The sequence below is a fragment of the Homo sapiens genome, chromosome 6 (assembly GCF_000001405.40).
Source record: "Homo sapiens chromosome 6, GRCh38.p14 Primary Assembly".
Classification (NCBI taxonomy): domain Eukaryota; kingdom Metazoa; phylum Chordata; class Mammalia; order Primates; family Hominidae; genus Homo; species Homo sapiens.
The window spans coordinates 52,892,694-52,912,019 of NC_000006.12; the positions used below are offsets into that span (position 1 = coordinate 52,892,694).

The 19,326-nt window shown below is 41.4% G+C and overlaps 1 protein-coding gene and 1 long non-coding RNA gene across 13 annotated transcripts in view, besides 2 other annotated features; one reads left to right on the plus strand and one right to left on the minus strand.

Annotated features, from left to right (window-relative positions):
* LOC105375091 (uncharacterized) overlaps nt 1-13,061 on the plus strand; it is a 34,762-nt gene extending 21,701 nt beyond the window's left edge. The window contains exons 2-4 of one of the 6 annotated variants that reach the window (XR_001744160.2): nt 928-3,174; nt 10,074-10,140; nt 11,788-13,061. This is a non-coding gene — a long non-coding RNA (uncharacterized LOC105375091). Of the gene's footprint in view, nt 1-927; nt 3,175-10,073; nt 10,680-11,787 lie in introns of those variants that run through there. The other 5 variants (XR_926877.2, XR_001744164.2, XR_001744159.2 and 2 more) reach the window with 5 other exon arrangements.
* On the minus strand, nt 3,953-17,005 carry GSTA3 (glutathione S-transferase alpha 3). Of its 7 annotated transcripts, none has more exons than NM_000847.5 (7): nt 16,948-17,005; nt 13,055-13,162; nt 10,983-11,034; nt 9,653-9,785; nt 7,241-7,382; nt 5,132-5,263; nt 3,953-4,235 (listed from the first exon to the last, which is right to left on the minus strand). In NM_000847.5, exons 2-7 carry the CDS (start codon nt 13,139-13,141, stop codon nt 4,113-4,115), a joined length of 669 nt encoding a protein of 222 aa, NP_000838.3. In that variant the 5' UTR covers nt 13,142-13,162; nt 16,948-17,005; the 3' UTR covers nt 3,953-4,112. The 7 variants fall into 7 exon arrangements, 5 of the variants coding, with proteins under 5 accessions (NP_000838.3, NP_001350471.1, XP_006715135.1 ...); XR_926166.3 differs by lacking the exon at nt 3,953-4,235 and adding an exon at nt 5,667-5,784 and having other exon boundaries at nt 5,178-5,263; XR_926167.3 differs by lacking the exon at nt 3,953-4,235 and adding an exon at nt 5,667-5,787 and having other exon boundaries at nt 5,178-5,263.
* Nucleotides 16,509-17,201: an enhancer, noted in NCBI's record as "H3K27ac hESC enhancer chr6:52774000-52774692 (GRCh37/hg19 assembly coordinates)". NCBI's record gives its function as "activates a minimal SCP1, AML or CMV promoter by ChIP-STARR-seq in primed H9 embryonic stem cells {active_cell/tissue: H9 hESC(primed)}" and the evidence as "EXISTENCE:reporter gene assay evidence [ECO:0000049][PMID:30033119]".
* Nucleotides 17,202-17,895: an enhancer, noted in NCBI's record as "H3K27ac hESC enhancer chr6:52774693-52775386 (GRCh37/hg19 assembly coordinates)". NCBI's record gives its function as "activates a minimal SCP1, AML or CMV promoter by ChIP-STARR-seq in primed H9 embryonic stem cells {active_cell/tissue: H9 hESC(primed)}" and the evidence as "EXISTENCE:reporter gene assay evidence [ECO:0000049][PMID:30033119]".

The following is a 19,326-nucleotide window of genomic DNA, read 5'->3' on the forward strand; positions in this document are numbered from 1 at the left end:
TAACCTGCAAGTTCTACACAGTGGCTCACAAAAGATTTTGCCTGCCCTTTGGAGCATAACAACCTTAAAGTAATATTGAAAAGTCAGTGGCATCAACACTTGGCAACAAATCACAAAGCACTTCCTGAAGGAAGCACGAATGTGTGTGATATCTACCATCAAGCTGTAAATTAGAATTGTGTTTGCTAGGTATTGGTGGCTCTTTCCTCAGCAGGAGATGGAGGTTTGGAGAAACAACTGCAGACATGGAACTGTGCAGATATACGTCCCTTTCATTGGTCATCAGGAATCCCAAGTCTGTGATCTTGCCAAATTTTCATTCACAACAATTGTATATTGACTACTTGTCTAGAGAAAACAACTTTGGCACAAACACCTATGTTTCCTCTGGCACTGCTCGTATTCTCAGATTATCTAAAATGGCACCATCACTTTTTTTTTTTACCTTAGATCATTAACTTTTTTCCTATTATTATATATCATGCCCTAGTTTTATAAATTCTTCCTTTTTACATTTCTGTAATGATTGTGAATGTTATCAGAAAAAAAATGAAGTTACTAATGTTGAGAAAACCTTGACAAACGGAGCTGGAAAACCATGAAGAGAAGGTTTTCATTCTTTTATGTCAGATAAGAAAAAAAGTTACAAAAAACATAAACTTGCACAAAGGTTATCACAACATTATACAAAAAACTTCTGCAAGGACATCTGACCAGCAACTGCCAGTTCATACTTGGCCTGACGTCACCCTTGTTATTGATGTTTGTAGTGAGTTATAAGTATTTTAAAAATTTATTTAATGCTTTTCATTTTTTTCTTAAAAAACCTTTGTCTTCCTTTATCTCCCTAAGCACATACGTGGTTTAATATGGTACACGCATACCCATTACAAAACTTTATTCCCAAATAAATATCTTTTATTTTAGAGTCTCTTTCTGTTTATTGAGTTGACACGATGTATCCAAAAGCAGCTGAATGCACAACTCAAACTGTCATCCAAGCACACAAAGAAGGCATTGATGTGAGTATTAAACAGATTTGTTTTTATTGTGTTAAGGATACATTTAAAAGTATTTTTCTAGTGACCTAGATGAGAGGGTATGAGGCAGTATGAGAAGATTTACAAGATCACTGCTTAGTTTGTTAAAGACTGTCATGCTCGTGGTTCAACAACTTAATTTAAGGTCCTAATGCGTTTATAAGCTACATGGTCCTTTCCATAGCTCCTTCCCATTGAAAGAGGTACAGTCAATTTAGCAAAAAGCCACCCCCACATGTTTCAGGGCCACAAGACTGCCTACTAGATTCTAAGAAAAATGGCAAGTCATCCTCTTATCACAGGGTAACTGGTTAATATGTTCCTTTTCAAGGTTGGCATTAAAAGTTTAACAAAATATTTCAGCAGATTTTGCTCTCTTTACAAGTCAGTAGAAACTGGCTTTTTGAAGACACTCACTTTTCATGACTTGGATGTAAGGACTAAAGCAGATGAGAAATCTCTGCTGGGAGCATAGCTGGGAGGGGATGTCTGTGAAGGGCAGGCTGATGGCACTATGGAAAGCTTCTATTACTGGGTTGCCACATAAAATGCAGGGAACCCAGGAAAATGTGCAGTTCAGGCAAAGAATCAATATCTTTTTAGTATAAGTATGTCCCAAGCACTGTAGGTAACATGATTATACAAAAAAAGTATTGATTGTTCATCTGAATTTCATATTTACTTGGGTGTCTTGTATTTTATCTGCCAAATCTAGCCACCGTATTTGCATACTTTTTCCTCTCTGCGTCACTCAGGTTGCCCTTCTTGACCTCTGGGCCTTTGCACATGGTAATTGTCCTGACTGGAATGCACTACTTTCACCTACCATGGTATTTTCTCTACTATGTCTTCTTTCCCTACACTGTTTTGACATGATGTATTCAATATCAGCTTCCCCACTAGACCCTGAGTTCCTGAGGGGAAAGCCTTCTTCTTGTTTGATTCCAGTCCTCATTGTCTGGCACAAAACCTGGTCATTGTAGGAGCTCCTAAAATAAGATAGTTTTTAAATTTACATGGAAGAATTCTAGCAAATACAAAAGTAGACAGAATAATATAACTAAGTTGAAAGTACCCATGACCTGGATTCACCGATTGACAAAAGCCTTTCTTCATCTACACCATGCAGTGGGTTATGTTGGCCCCCACAGAAGATAGGTCCATATCCAAACCCCTGGATCCTGTAAATGTGACCTTATTTGGAAAAAAGCTCTTTGCAGATGAAGTTAAGGAACTTGAGATGAGACCATCCTGGTATATTTAAATAGGCCCTAAATCCAGTGAGAAGTGTACCCACAACAGAGAAGACACAGACACAAAGAGGGTGAGGTGCTGGAAGCCCCATGCAGAAAGTAGAGTGATGTGGCCAAGATCCAAGGAAGTCCAGAAATGCCAAGAGCCCCCAGAAGCTGTAGGATGCAGGAAAGGATTGTTCTCTAGAGCTTCCAGGGGAATGTGGACCTCACAACTTGACTTCTGGCCTTCAGAATTTCTATTGTTTCAAGCCACCATGTTTGTAGGAATCTGTGACAGAAGCCACAAGAAAACAGTACAAACTTCTACTCCCCCCACTACCAAGGGATTTTTTTGAAACAAATTCCAGACAGCATATCATTTCTTCTGTACATACTACTGTTTATCTCTAGAAAGGAAGAACTACCTGTTGAAACATAATCACACTATTCTCTTATCATATTAAAATTCTATAATTCCTTAGTTTCATCAAAGCTTCAGCATTCTAGTTCATGTAAGTGTCCCATACCCGTAATCACAGCACAGGGGAGCAGACACAGTGGCCCTCAGGTGTTCTTAGAGGCTCACTGGGGCTCTGAGGAGGGCACAGAGGACAGCCCAATGCTCCGGAGAAGCAATAGGGTAGATTTAATTGTGATCACTGGGAAGGAGCTTGCCAGGCAGGGCTAGCAAATGCACCCAGGCAGGAAGGCAAGAGGCTCCACCATGCTCAGAGGGTTGATTGGGCTGGAGATCAAGGAGTGAGGACGGGTGTGAGGATACCTTCTATATGCAGTCAGGACTCACTGCAGAATTCTGTGATTTTTTTTTCCAATTTGTATTTTAGAAAAGCTATGCTGGTTGTAAGTGGAGAAGAGACTAGAGCAAAGTGAAGCTGCAGGTAGGAAGCCTGTGTCTGTCTGCTCCCTCAACCACCTCTGCCAACTGTGGGGAAGCTCATTCTAACAGGAGAGCTCAAATTGCAGAAGCCCAGGTGTCCGAGGGGAGATTAACACTATAGGCCCAGTATGTGGGTGGAGCTAGAAAGCACTCCTCATCTAAGAACTCTGGCACAATGACACACCACGGAAAAATGATTTTGCATATAGTAGTTACTTATATGTAATTCAAATATACCATCTGTATCTTGGCAGCCCAGGCCTGAGTGGCACTGAGGGAACTGAGGGAATGTTCATGACGGTGGCCCCCACAGAGCCTTAAGGAGCAGAGTGAGGATGAGCCAGGAGCACATGCACTGTAAGGGACAACAGGGTGGCCTGAGAGCAGAGGGTGGGTCTGTTTGCTCTTCAATATTTCCTCACCTCCTAGAAAACTGAGGAATCCACAGCAGACAGAATCATTGTTTTGAAAATACAGGAGAAAGAACGCTTTTATCTGAAACAAAATGACTGTCCAGGAAAAGAAGAAAATGTCTTTATGCCATTACCCAGAATGGTAACTCTTCTCCTGTGCATACCTGAAAATGTCAGGAGCGCATTTCTACATTGACATTTTAATAGATTGTATGACAAATGTTACAGGATAATTCTTGGTAAAAGTCAAACCATATAACCTACATTTCCCATTTTTACTAAATTTTTAATTTCAAGAAAGAGGTTAGGAGGAGATTAGAAATCTGAATTCATATCAGATCCTAATGAAAAGGCTTAAATTTTAACTAAGTTAGCAAATAGGAGTTTTTATTATTTAATTAGCATATAATTGGAAAGGGTTCATTAGCTTTACAACAGGCACAATCAACACTTAAGTAAAGCACTTCATTGTTGCAAAACTTTAGAATATTGGTCTTGCATGTTCTTAGCCTCCATGGCTGCTTTATTAAAACCTGAAAATCTTTCTGGCTTCTTCTAAAGCTTTTGCATCTGCGGGAGGCTTCCTTGGGCTGCCAGGCTGTAGAAACTTCTTCACCGTGGGCAGGTTGCTGATTCTGGTTTTCAGGGCCTGTAATTCACAAAGCACAGCCTCAGAGTGAAGCCAAGGTCTGCCACCACCATTAATACCACCCAGGGAATTTGACCCCTCCTGCCAGAGACCAAGTGAGTCCCCTCCATCAGCACCAGCATGGAGGCAGAAACAGACACCCAGTGATAAATGAAGATAAGAGGAAGAACATGTAGCTCACTTTATTTTCCGCAAAGATGTCTTAAAGTTTTAATCAATTCAGTCATCCCTATCTTTCTCCTTACATATCAATCCTGTAGATTAGTGACTCTTGTATAAGACAAGAAAAAATAATGTGCCTGTGAGATATCAACACAGGTCAGTCTCTAAGCAGAAGTGAAAATATGGAGAAATGAGTTGGAAAGGAAAATGTTATAGAAAATATTAAAGTCAAACCATGGGACCACGTTTTCTCAGTGAGAGATACAGGGTTGGGGGCAGTGTGTTGGGTGTGCTGTGCACAGAGGAACACAACTATCTGACAGCTCCTGCTGCCCACCCTGGCCAGAGCCTAAGGAAGGAACCAGATGGAAAGGGCCCTGCTCAGACCAATTCAGTGTGGGAACACAAGGACAGTCTTGGGATAAAGGGAATCACAGAACTCAGGAACAGACCACAGAGGAATGGGGGAGGAAGGAAGATGCTGGGCCCTGGGTCCTTTCCGTGATAAAAGGCAAAATACTTTTCATGGGGTAGCATGACCACAAATTTCCTTTCCAGAACAAGAGTCTTTTCATGCCTCAAAATTGGGGTCTGGAAGCTCATTTTGGAGACCTGGGGGTACTGAAGGCCTGAAAAAGGCTGGGGTCAGAACATGGCCAGTCCAAGGGCCCAGATACTAGATCCCAAGATGGGACATGTGGGGCTGTCTCTCTGAGGGCTGTGAAATGGGTCACCTTCAGCAGAGGGAAGTTGGAGATAAGGCTGGAGTCAAGCTCTTCCACATAGTAGAGAAGTTCCACCAGGCTAATGTCAGCCCGGCTCAGCTTGTTGCCAACAAGGTAGTCTTGTCCATGGCTCTGTAACACCTGGAGAATTTGAGGAATCAGATCAGGAATACATGCGCACCCAGGATGGGACCCCTGCTTCTCCCTGAGTCTTTCCAGCCTGACATTCCCACCTGTGTTGCCTAACTGGATGGTGTGAAGGTCCAGGCCTTTGTTTATGTTCCCTGATTGAGTGAGGGAGCAAGAATGTGGCTCTGCTCACTCCTCAGTTGGAGCTCAGGCTCCCATTTTCTCTTCTCATTCCACATCACTGTGGCATCCACACCATCCACCTGCTTGCATTTTCCACATGGGCCAGGGGTTTAGCACCTGCTACTGCATGTTCTGTCTGCCCCAGGCCCTACAGCGTGTAGCCTTGACATTCAGGATGTGGCTCTACAATCTGCTCTCTCCCTCTCCAATCTCCCTTGGGCAGTGACTCCACCTTCATGACAGCACTCTTCCTCCAGGAGTAGACTATTTCAGAGTCTTCATTTCTCCATATGTTCCATAGACTCAACAGCAACCTCTAGTGTGATTCAGAGCCTTCCACAGCCCACGTTCTACTTAAAAACATAAAATTTTGTTGAATAGAGAATTCTATATTGGGGTCTAGTAAATTGAAATTTTGCTGGAAAATTATAACTTGGGTATAAGTGGTATCATTGTTCCTCCAAGTCTATCTTCATAAAATGCCTTGTCTGCTTTCCTCATTTCCTGTTCTATCTCCCTGGGATCTGAAGTAAACCTGGGTTGTTATATATAAAGTTTCAGTGACGCAAAAAGAATAGTACTTGAATATAAAATTTTCTTTTTAATTCTCAGCAAGGCAAGGTACTTCTATATAGAAGGGTGCGCTCTCACAGATGGAACAACGGTGAGCGCACACTTGGACAAAGGAGGGGAAGGGTTTCTTATCCCTGACGCACGTGGCCCCTGCTGCTGTGTCTTTCCCCCTGCTGCTGTGTCGTTCCCCTATTGGCTAGGGTTAGACTGCACTGGCTAAACTAATTCTGATTGGCTAATTTAAAGAGAATGACGGGGTGAGTGCTTTGGCAGGAGTCAGGGCAGAGCAGGTAGCCGGCAATCGGAATGAGTTAGGAGGAGAAGGTAATCGGAATGAGTTTGGGTAGAGCAGGTAATCAGAATGAGTCAGGGTAGAGCAGGTAATCGGAATGAGTTAGGGTAGAGCAGGTAATCGGAATGGGTCAGGGTGGAGCAGGTGATCGGAATGAGTTAGGGTGGAGCAGGTGATCGGAATGAGTCAGGGTGGAGTAGGTAATCGAAAAAGATTGCTTTACGAGGTAGTTAAGTTTAAAAGTAGAAGGCAAAAAATTGAATATACTGACATGTTAATTCTTTGAAAAGAAATTTAGAACTCCTATCTAACAGGGTGAACTTGAATTCATCATCTTTCTTGCAATATCGGCTCTGACTCCTAACCTGCGCTGTTATAATCTGCAAGCTGAAGTGTCTAGGAGTGAACTGCACTGACGTCTGCAACTTACTTTAAAATGAGTTTTAAAAAATCTTCCTCTCCACCCCACTGTCACTATCCTTTTAAGAAATATCCATCTCTGAAACACTACAATATTCTCTGGTTGGGAAATTGGTCTCCTGTCTTCCTACACATGGTGCCAGAATAGTTTCTAATGGATCGCTTTCATCATGTTCATCTTCAGACAAAGCCTGTGTTCCACAGACTCAACAGCAACCTCTAGTGTGGTTCAGAGCCTTCCACAGCCCATGTTCTACTTATGAACATAAAATTGTTGAATAGAGAATTCTATACTGGGGTCTAGTAAATTGAAATTTTGCTGGAAAATTATAACTTGGGGATAAGTGGTATCACTGTTCCTCTAAGTCAATTTTCATAAAATGCCTTGAGAGTCAGAGAGCTGAATTGGTGTTCAGGAAGTCTCACTGAAAGTGAAGGTCAGTGCCCCAGGAATGCCCAGCCACTATTTTTCTACTGGCCTCTAAACTCAGTGCCCCAAAATGCTGAACAGCTTCACCTACTTTTTCGAAGGCAGGGAAATAGCGACTTTTTGTTTTCTCTTTGATCAAGGCAATCTTGGCATCTTTTTCCTCAGGTCGACATAAGGGCAGAAGAAGGATCATTTCATTCAAATCTGCCATACCTTCTGTATACATATCAATTCTGAAAGACAAAAACAGCCAAAGCATCAAATGCCTCTTGCCTTAGATTTTGTAGGTTTATAAAAACCTAAGAGAATAGAGGGTCAGATGGTGGTAAGGTAATTCATCTCCATTGGGTGCCTTTTATATTCTAGTCATTATGCTCTGATTTTTGCATGTATGTTGACGTTTCCTTCTTTCTTTCTTTTTCTTTTTTTTTTTTTTTTGAGATGGAGTTTCCCTCATTCTCCCAAGCCAGAGTGAGGTTATACAATCTTGGCTCACTGCCACCTTCGCCTCCAGGGTTCAAGTGATTCTCCTGCCTCAGCCTCCAGAGTAGCTGGGATTACAGACGCCTGCCAATATGCCCAGATAATTTTTGTATTTTTAGTAGAGATAGGATTTCTCCATGTTGGCCAGGCTGGTCTCAAACCCCTGACCTCACGTGATCCACCCGCCTTGGCCTCCCAAAGTGCTAGGATATAGGGGTGAGCCACCATGCCTGGCTGCCTTTTATTTCTTAAAACAACTTATCGAGGTAGATATATCTCTAAAATCTTTGTTATGCACATGACCAAATACAGGTACAAAGAGCATCGGTGACCTGTCTACAGTCACAGTCATGAGAGAAATTGGTGGAATCACTGCCAGTACCCACCGATGCTGTGCCAGGATTTATCATCTCCATTGTGGTTTGTTCTGTGCATAAACTTCGTGTGAGTCAAATGGCCAAAGACTTTTCTCCTAAGTAATCCCAAGAGAGTCCCTGGCACAGCCATCTCAGTCATGTTCCTTGTCCTGTCTCATCATTTACATCTCCCAGGCCCACTTCTATGCCCAATATTAGCAGTTTTTCCAATTACTCCCATGAAACATAATTCTACAGCCCTATCCATGTGCTATTGCCCAACTCTAGCCATGTGTGCCTTACTTGAGACCCCACCTAAAAGATCCCCTTCCTTGGTGAAATTCTATACACAGTTACAACCAGGACATATTTTAGGAAACCTTTTTTTCTTTTGTGTTTAATTAGGTTTTCCACAGTACTTTTTAAAACAACAGTTTCATTGATGTATAGTCACACATTATCGTTGTCACCCATTAAATTATAGTATTCAGTCACTTTTAGTACATTTACAGAATTCTGCAAATATCATCACACTCTAATTCTAGAATATTTTTATCACCCTGATAAGGACATCTGTACCCATTGAGTATTCATTTTCCCCAAACCCCAAACCTTTTAGCTTCAGGCAACCACTAGTCTACTTGCTGCCTCTATGGGTTTGAATATTCTAGACATTTCATACACACAATCCTACAATATGTGGACTTCTGTGCCTAATTTCTTTTACATAACATGTCTTTAAGGTTCAACTTTCTTGTAGCATGCATCAGTACTTCATTTCTTTTCATGAGTAAATATTGTTCCATTGCATGGCTAAGGCACACTTTGTTCCTCCATTTATTGGTTGATGGATATTTGGGTTATTTCTACGTTTTGAATACCATGAAAATTGCCGTTATTTGCACTGTACGTTTATGTACAAGATTTGGTGTGGAAGTATTTTGATTCTTTTGGTATATACCTAGTAGAGGAATTGCTGGGTCATTGGTAACTCTACACTAAACTTTTTGAAGAACTGCCAACAGTTTCACATAGGATGTTATTTAGAATCAGGCAGCCCTATTGCAACAGTGAGGAGACCCCATGGCTTTGCTGGTATTCGATAAATCTAGCTGCTTCAGCCTTGAATCCATGTTTCCAGGCAACCCCAGAGTTCTGGGTGCCAGCCTCTACTAGCCCTGCTCAAGTTGACCAGTCCATATAATTGGCTGGTAACTTGGGTTCCTGGGCATCATTCTTGGAATTACTGGGACCTGAGATTCAGCTTCTTTGCAGTCTTCCCTCCCCAGGCCTTCATCTACAGACTCTCAAACATTCTATGCCTGTCCTAAGCTGTTGGCTGGAGTCCAGCCTCTGAAGGCTTGAGCACCTGGAATCATTATTCCCCATCCTCCTGAGTTCATGGTTCATCAGTGTTTGGAAACCTCTGTCAGGGTGCTGGATCCATGGAATGCATCCTCTTCTAGAATCACACTCACCTGAACCCTCCTCACGTTCACTGTTTCCTCATCCCCATGGGACTCTGCAATACTGGACCTCAGTATACACGCCCAAGGCCCAGCCTGCTCCTGGTCATGATGCCCTGTCATGGTCTCACCCACTCAAGGAAGGACCTAAATCACTCTGTGTTCTCTGTGGATGGAAGAACACAAAATATACCGTACAGGGCTCTCTCCTTTATGTCTTTCCCGTAGAGGTTGTATTTGCTGGCAATGTAGTTGAGAATGGCTCTGGTCTGTACCAACTTCATCCCATCAATCTCAACCATTGGTACTTGCTGGAACATCAAACTCCCATCTTTAGAAAGAAGGAAAAAAAAGGAACATGAAATTTCTATGAATCCCACTATTTCAGGAAGAAAAATGATGGTTGAAATGACTGAGGTTATAAAATGAAAAAGAAATTATTGCCTGCTAACCTCAAAAACGAAATAGTATTTTGATTTTAGCTGCCTGTAGTTCTTTTTCTGACCTGATTCCTTTGACCTTTTAGCCTGTTATTTCATTTATGTTTTTATTCCCCATCCAGGTACATAGTAGGTCCCTTGTATTTTACTTGCGTTGATTTATCGTCATGATATTTTAGGAAAAAGCTGAGACAGGTTACAACGGGAGTGCCAGAGAGATGTCACTTAAAATGAGAACTTCTCAGGGTAAGTCTCATGGTGTTCATGGCCTTTAAAGTAGGTTCTGAGACACAATTTTATGCAGAGGTCCCTTTCTGTGTTCTTCCAAGCCTACAGTATTACTACAATATGACCTTATCACATGACCCATGAAAGAAAACAACTCAAGGTAATGGCCACATCTATTTCTATTCTTTTCGTCTTATTCATGTTCTTGTGTGTCCTTGGATGGGGAAGGCTGTGTGGGATCCTGAGCTGATGACCTCAGCTCATTCACGGTGCCCCAAGCATGAAAACAAGGAAAGGGCATTCTCAGGGCACTGGGGATGGTTCCTCTAGCAGATACTCTGAGAGGTCTGGCCTTTTAGCCTGGAGATAGTTGCCAGACCTGTTCAGGGAGCCACATCCCTTCCACTTTAACCACCTTCTCCCTCTCCACCACCACAGCTACCACCCCACACACACATAGGCATCGCCTGGTGTTAAAATCTTCAACTGTGGCCGGGCACGGTGGCTCACACCTGTAATCCCAGCACTTTGGGAGGCCGAGGCGGGCGGATCACGAGGTCAGGAGATCGAGACCATCCTGGCTAACACGATGAAACCCCGTCTCTACTAAAAATACAAAAAAAAAAAAAAAACTAGCCTGGTGTGGTGTCTGGCGCCTGTAGTCCCAGCTACTCGGGAGGCTGAGGCAGGAGAATGGCATGAACCTGGGAGGCGGAGCTTGCAGTAAGCCGAGATCATGCCACTGCACTCCAGCCTGGGCAACACAGCGAGACTCCGTCAAAAAAAAAAAAAAATCAATCTTCAGCGGTACCTTCTCTACTAGATACCCTCATCAGAGGCACTTAGAGACTTGATCTTACCATTTCTTAACTTTCCCAAATCTTCTGCAGATCCTATAAATTTCTCTTCAAACTGGAAGCAGAAACAGTAAATGGGTTCTTGTTAGTTCGTTCCATAGCATTACAGACTTGTGACCTTGAATGGCCTCCATCTGGTACATAATTTGGAGAACATAAGATTTCTGAGTTTGGCAGGGGACACAGAAGAAGCTGGTCATGGCCGCTTGGAAATTTAGATTTTATCCCTCAAGAAACAGGCATGGGTCAGACCATGCTCATGCTCATGGGTCTGACAATGGGTCAGAACTGCTCAATCTTCTTTTTTATTTTATTTATTTATTTATTTTTTTGAGACAGAGTCTCACTTTGTCGCCCAGGCTTAAGTACAGTGGTATGATCATGGCTCATTGCAGCCTTGATCTACCAGGCCCAAGTGACCCTCCCACCTCAGCCACCTGAGTAGCTGGGACTATAGGCATGCACCATCACATCCAGCTAATTTTTTATTTCTATTTTGTAGTGCTGGGGTCTCGCTGTGTTGCCTAGACTCATCTTGAACTCCTGGGCTCAAGCAATCCTCCCCTATCGGCCTCCCAAAGTGCTGGGATTAAAGGTGTGACCCACTGCTCCTGGCCTGCTCCGTCTTTTACTTCACCTCCCCACGATCTCACAAATGTCCATGATTAGGGAGGGAACGTCACTGGAGGAAAGGCACTGAGCTGCAGAGCTGATGTCTGGGTGACAATGAAACAGGGTATTCATTTGTACACAGAAAACAACCTGGAATGGAAGTGTGTGGATTTCTTGTGTGCTTATTTCCTCATAGGTTTGAGAAAGGTGAGTCCCAAGCCCTCGTGAAGCATTGGAGAAAGTGCCGCCCCGAGGTTCAGGTCCACACAGCGCTGTGAGGCTGAAGGGGCGCGCTAGAAGTTCCTTTCACAGGACGCCACCTCACCTGAAACCCTCCTTTTCTGCTGACACCCGAGGGACAAGATCTTCTGAGTTTTTCCATTACTTACTCTGGAGGAAAACCCTCAGGCAGTTAGTTACTGAGGGACTCTGGTCTGGACTGGGAAGTGTTTTTCTCAGTGACACCTCTAGAAGGCAGCACTTAGCGGAGTCCCACAGACACCTCCCAGCATTTCCTGCTCAAACACTGGGAGGATGGCCTGGTAACACTGGGGAATGCCTGGGTGTTCTAGAAGCCCCCACCCCTGATTTTAACCACGTGTTTTCTTATCTGAGTCCTTGTAGACATGTATGTAGTCTGCCTTAGGGCAGGAATTGTGTCTACCTTGTTCACTGCCAATCCTCAGGACAGAACCTGGCACTTAATAGGTGCACAACAAAATAACCACTGGCTGAATATACTCAGTATTTAACAGGCAGTTTGTCACAATCCACTCCCTCCCTGACCTCATTGTGGTTTATAGTTTATGTTTAATGACATTTAGTTTCCATGTACTTAGCATTTTATTGTATAAATTTCTCATATATATAAAAAATACACATAAAATACAATGGTCCTCTTTGTTTCAATCATCTAGCTGCAGTAATCACCAACCCAAGCCTGTCTTTCATTTGTATGCCCAGCTTCTCTCCTCCTCTGTCATAATATGAAACAAATCTGAGGTATCATATTATCTCATCCTAAATACTTCAGTGTGTATCTCTGAAACATAACAGAAACATCATACCTAACATCACAAAATGACACTAAAAAATTTAACAGTAATTCTTTAATATTATCTAACATTCAATCAATATTCAGGTTTCTAATTTTTATGTGTCATAAGTTATATTTTATAGTTTGTTTAAATCCTAATGCAAATAAGGTCCACTCATTGTGATTAGTTAATTCTTTTCAAAATATATTTTAATTGTTCATGTGTTCTTTTTCATGTGCTCTTTAATGGACAGATTTTTAAATTTTCATTTGGTAAAATTTGTCCATTTTAAAAAAATAACTGGGGATGCTTTTATTTGAGGCCAAAATATTCACAGGTCATCTAGTATGGAAGTCTCTTGGCTTACTAAAATATTTTGATACAGTCAATTAGGTCCAACTTAAGATGACCTAACTTAGAACATACCTCCACTCCAGCTGCAGCCAAGAGCCACCGGATGGGCTCCATTCTGCCCCGTCCATTGAAGTAGTGAAGCTTGGGCTTCCCTGCCATGGTAACAGTCTCTTGGTTTCTCTAAAATGAATGAATGAATGCATGAATGGATGAATGAATGAGTCTAGAGAAGCAAAATGCACGCTAGTATATGAATGGTTGAACAACAGGAGTGTCTTCCTTCCTCATAGCAGGATTGTTTCCACCTCTGAATTCTGTTTGCACTAGACAGGTCCAACACCAATGTGACTTCACAGGGTCCCTCTGAGATTCTGAGGCTTTCCTGTGTAAGACCTTTGTTTTCATTTATTTATTTTTATGTTGGTAATTATTCCAGGCACTACTGACTTGCATTATGTTCCAACCTAGTTGGTGACTTCATGTGCCTTATAAAAACTATATGTTCTATTGATATATCTAGTTCTCCCCTCAAGAGTTCCCAAATTATTGAGCTAGAAGGGATCTAGCTAGCCCTTCCTCCAGGTTTGTAATGAATATGTTGAACCCCAAAGAAAGTATGTGCAATTTGCCAACTAGCTAGTTAGTGTCAAAGTCTGGATTAGAACCTAGGTCTTCTGACATTCAGACTAGTTTCTTCCTGTTATGCCTCATTATTGACTATTTACAGCCTGCAGACGTTACCATTTTTAGCTACCAATGACTTTCTTCACAGAATTGGAAAAAACTTCTTTAAAGTTCATATGGAACAAAAAAGAGCCCGCATCATCAAGTCAATCCTAAGCCAAAAGAACAAAGCTGGAGGCATCACACTATCTCACTTCAAACTATACTACAAGGCTACAGTAACCAAAACAGCATGGTACTGGTACCAAAACAGAGATATAGATCAATGGAACAGAACAGAGCCCTTAGAAATAACGCCGCATATCTACAACTATCTGATCTTTGACAAACCTGACAAAAACAAGCAATGGGGAAAGGATTCCCTATTTAATAAATGGTGCTGGGAAAACTGGCTAGCCATATGTAGAAAGCTGAAACTGGATCCCTTCCTTACACCTTATACAAAAATCAATTCAAGATGGATTAAAGACTTAAACGTTAGACCTAAAACCATAAAAACCCTAGAAGAAAACCTAGGCAATACCACTCAGGACATAGGCATGGGCAAGGACTTCATGTCTAAAACACCAAAAGCAATGGCAACAAAAGCCAAAATTGACAAATGGGATCTAATTAAACTAAAGAGCTTCTGCACAGCAAAAGAAACTACCATCAGAGTGAACAGGCAACCTACAAAATGGGAGAAAATTTTCGCAACCTACTTATCTGACAAAAGGCTAATATCCAGAATCTACAATGAACTCAAACAAATTTACAAGAAAAAAACAAACAACCCCATCAAAAAGTGGGCGAAGGACATGAACAGACACTTCTCAAAAGAAGACATTTATGCAGCCATTAAGAGCATTTATGACATGAAAAAATGCTCACCATCACTGGCCATCAGAGAAATGCAAATCAAAACCACAATGAGATACCATCTCACACCAGTTAGAATGGCAATCATTAAAAAGTCAGGAAACAACAGGTGCTGGAGAGGATGTGGAGAAATAGGAACACTTTTACACTGTTGGTGGGACTGTAAACTAGTTCAACCATTGTGGAAGTCAGTGTGGCGATTCCTCAGGGATCTAGAACTAGAAATACCATTTGACCCAGCCATCCCATTACTGGGTATATACCGAAAGGACTATAAATCATGCTGCTATAAAGACACATGCACACGTATGTTTATTGTGGCACTATTCACAATAGCAAAGACTTGGAACCAACCCAAATGTCCAACAATGACAGACTGGATTAAGAAAATGTGGCACATATACACCATGGAATACTATGCAGCCATAAAAAATGATGAGTTCATGTCCTTTGTAGGGACATGGATGAAGCTGGAAACTATCATTCTCAGCAAACTATCGCAAGGACAAAAAAACCAAACACCGCATGTTCTCACTCATAGGTGGGAATTGAACAATGAGAACACTTGGACACAGGAAGGGGAATATCACACTCTGGGGACTGTTGTGGGGTGGGGGGAGGGGGGAGGGATAGCATTGGGAGATATACCTAGTGCTGGATGATGAGTTGGTGGGTGCAGCACACCAGCATGGCACATGTATGCATATGTAACGAACCTGCACATTGTGCACATGTACCCTACAACTTAAAGTATAATAATAATAAATAAATAAATTAAAAAAAAAAGAAGTTACCATTTTTATGTCCCCCACCCCTCAAACTGTGAGCTCCCGGGAAGCAGAGAAGTTGTCATAGTCTTTAAGCACAGTGTAGTGCATTGCTCAAAGTTCAGTCCGTGCTTTATAGGATATAACATGGCTAGATATCTCAAGAGCAATCTTTTTTTTTTTTTTTTTGCCATTTGCCTATAGCGCTCACTGTTTTAGACTACAGTAGCATAGAGTAATTAAAAAACAAACTAGGGCTGGGCATGGTGGCTCATACTTATAATCCCAGCACTTCGGAAGGCTGAGGAGGGAAGATTGCTTGAGCTCAGGAGTTCAGGACTGGCCTGGGCAATTAAATAAAGTCTCTATTTAAAAAAAAAATTAGCCAGGATTGGTGTCCCACACCTGTAGTCCCAGATACCCAGGAGGCTGAGGCAGGAAGATCACTTGAGCCCAAGATGTTAAGGCTGCAGTGAAACATGGCCACATCACTGCATTCCAGCCTGGGTGACAGAATGAGACTGTCTCAAAACAAACAAAAAGCATGAAAAAAGCCAAGCTAGGATTATGGCAATAAAATAACCAATCCTAATTATGAAACCCACCAATCTGCTGTTTAAAAAGAATTATCAAAGCAACCAAACTCTCCCACATAGTAGAAACATCGTGACTACACAAAAAATATTTTTTTTTAATTGGATAAGTGCTTTGGCAGGGTAGCCCAGGGTAATATTTCATTTGGCAAATAGAAAGAACTTGCATATAGAAGGAATGTGCATGTTCTGTTGGACAGGGAATATAACAGCTTAAGAGGGGGTTATTATTATTCTTAGATCTACTTGCCTACTACCCTAAAAGTCCTATATATTTAGATTCACTTGCAATTTTGAGACTTTAAACCCTGCTCACCCTTTGGTCCCAGATACTTCGAACAAGAAGGAGGAGGAGGAAGAAGAGGCAGAAGAGGAAAAAGAGGAGGAGGAAGAAGAAAGAGGGCAAAGAGAACAAAGAGAAGGAGGGAAGAAGGAGGAGAAGAAGAAGGAAAAATAGCATGCTGCTTGGTGCTCAATCACAAAGTCACTTATATAAGCAGTAAACTAATCTGTGTAAAATCAATGATGGAAGTGTAAATTTAGATCCTGATTGTCAAGCATTGGTGATTGGTTTCCCATTTGGAAGTGCCAGCTCTAGAGGAATACGACCATCCAGATGTATTTTCTTTTCATTGATCAAGTGGTGCTCCCAAATGTGTGACCCTGCCAGCTTTAAATCTAGTATAATTGTGTGTTGACTCCTGTGAATCACAGGAATGAATCACACGAATACATGTTTTTAATAAACAGCTTTTCCATAAGCAACCTTTGGCATGTGGCCTGGCACTGATGTGGTTGTATTTTCAGATTGCCCACAATGATACCACTCTTACTTTTCTCATATCATCAAATTCTTTGCCCTTGTTTTCTAAATTGTTGAATATTATTTTTCTTTACCGACCTGTCCTTCAGGAACTAACAAACAATGCTTAAATTGTCTCCTAAGCACACAGAAAAACAGCAAGAACATAAAGTACTCACACAAACTAACACATTTAAATTTGTTTTTCTTAGTGAAGTAGACATGAGAACATTTATGAAGATGTTTAAGGTCAATACTAACTTGAGTAAAGTCTAGCCGGTCTCCGCTCAGCTTCTCAAGGCCACCTCCTGATGTGTATGTTAGCTGTTTTAATACTATGACAACTCCTGCCTTCTGAAGGGGGTGGAGTCTAGTTGGGAGCAGCCACTCCCACACCACTTTAGTCTCCAGAGTTCCATGATCTGCTAGGAAGAAAATGACAGCAATTAATTTCAAGGCTATCCATAAATGCACAAAAAGATTTCATATCTATTTGGCTGCCTCAGAAGGTCACTGGGGACCAAGTATCCTGTGAACACTGCTTAAGGAGGATCTTGTTAAATAGGCTGCAGATTTATGACAGATGAGAAAACATTGTGGGGAGAGGAGGAAAGTGTCATAGGAGAGTCATAGGAGATGTCAGGAAAGGGGACTTGATAAAGAGCATAGGGAGATTGCCTTCTAAATTTGTTTAAAAAGACTAAATTACAAATAATGTCACAAAATTTTATAGGCCCAAAGAATCTGGCTGAGTTGTCCTTGCCCTGGGCAGACAAAAGACCTCAGCTGCATTCCCCGAGGTCATTTGCAGATTTTTCTCTGTGACTTACCAGTTAGCCTTTCTCCCTAGCCCAAGGCTCTGCATGCTGTTTCTCCTATTTGGAGCACTCTTTTCTCCCCTGCTCCAAGGCATCCTGTGCTTCCTCTATCACATCACTCTTTCTACATTCCGTGCATCATGTCTGCTTTCCCCCTGTTGAGTATGAGCTCCTTGAGGCAGGGCCTCAAGTCCTGGTGGTTAACCAAGTCCCCGTGGCTAACCACAGTGCCTGGACATAGAAAGGGCTTAATACACGTATATGTAATTTCTACTTTTCTAAAGGAAATTGTCTGATATACATAAATCTGGAAAGAACACTACAAAGCCTTGATGTACCCATCACCTTGCTTCAAAAATTATTGACAATATTTGAAGCAAATCTCAGACTTAGTTTTTTTCCTCTATAATCTAATCTGTATCTTTTAAACTTGTGGGTGGGGGAGTTATTTATGTAACAGAAAAATTGCAAAACTAGTACAAGTTTCCCAAATACCCCTCACCCAGCATCCGCTAATGTTAACATCTTATGTAACCATAGTACAATGATTGAATCCAGGAATTTAATGTTGATACACTATTGACTAAACTCCAGGCCTTACTTGAATTTCACCAGTTTTTCAATCAGTATCTTTTTTCTAACCCAGGATCCCATCCAGGACCCCAGCACTGCATTTCGTTGTCACATCTCCTTAGTTACCTCCAAACTATGGCAGTTCCTCAGTCTTTTCTTGTCTTTCATGATGGTGGCATTTTTGAAGAGTAATGGTCAATTATTTTGTGGAATGTACCTCAATTTGGGTCTATCTGATGTTTTCTCATGACTCGATTGACGACATACATTTTTTGCAAAATGTCACAGCAGTTGTTCCAGTCTCAGCTGATCATTTCCACCCATAATTTCATATCCGAGACATGGTATGTCTTATTAATTTTGATCTTAACCTTAATCCCTTGATTAAAGTAGCGTCTGCCAGGTTCATCAACCGTAATATTACTATTTATCCCTTTGGAATTCATAAATATCTTGTGGAAGATACTTTGTGACTATAAAAATAGTCAGTTTCAAAATAAGCTTCTGCTCACTAACTTTAGCATCCATTATGGATCTTGCCTGCAGCAAATATTACTGTAGTGTTTGTCTAATAGTGACTTTCTATTTCCCTCATTCCATCTACATTTAATAATTCGAATTCTTCTGTAAAGAAAAGCTGTCTCTTCTCCTTTATTTATCCTTCCATTCATTCAATTATTTTCTTAGTACAGATTTATAGATATTTTATTCTAAAGGTTACAATCTAATACCATCGATATCTATTTTATTGCTCAAATTGATCCACCTTTAGCCTGTGGGAGCTCCTTCAGATTGGCTTCTGTGTCTTTTATGGCAAACCTCCTCTCTTATTGTGAGCATTTCCAGATACTTTCTGTGCCAAAGATGTTCCAGGCTTATCTTGTCTTGTCTGTGTCCCAGCCTTGAAGTCAACCATTTCTCCAAAGATCCTTGTTTCCTTTTATTGGGGAAGGTATTTGAAAACTAGGATCTCGGAACTATGTGTACTCATTGCTTCTGGGTTTTCAATGCTTCTAGGCTCTCCCCAGTGGGAAATATATGTATGTATATTAACCCACACATACATACACTTCTGTATGTATTTATATAGCTATCTGTATAAATATGATAAAAAACCATGAGTTCATACAGATACCTACTATTTCAATTCAATAGATTCATTTAGCCGTGTCCTTTCATTTCTAACCTCTCTGACAAGTGAGAAACCTGGCTATGATTATCTAAAATATACAATATTTGCATATTTGTT

What these genes read in the sequence shown, in the direction of transcription:
- GSTA3 (NM_000847.5), bottom strand. Translation starts at nt 13,141, where the DNA reads ATGGCAGGGAAGCCCAAGCTTCACTACTTCAATGGACGGGGCAGAATG. An exon ending in TGGCTGCAGCTGGAGTGGAG is followed by an intron (nt 11,035 to 13,054) that starts GTATGTTCTAAG and finishes TTCTGCTTCCAG; the next exon opens with TTTGAAGAGAAATTTATAGG. An exon ending in GACATAAAGGAGAGAGCCCT is followed by an intron (nt 7,383 to 9,652) that starts GTACGGTATATT and finishes TTTGTCTTTCAG; the next exon opens with AATTGATATGTATACAGAAG.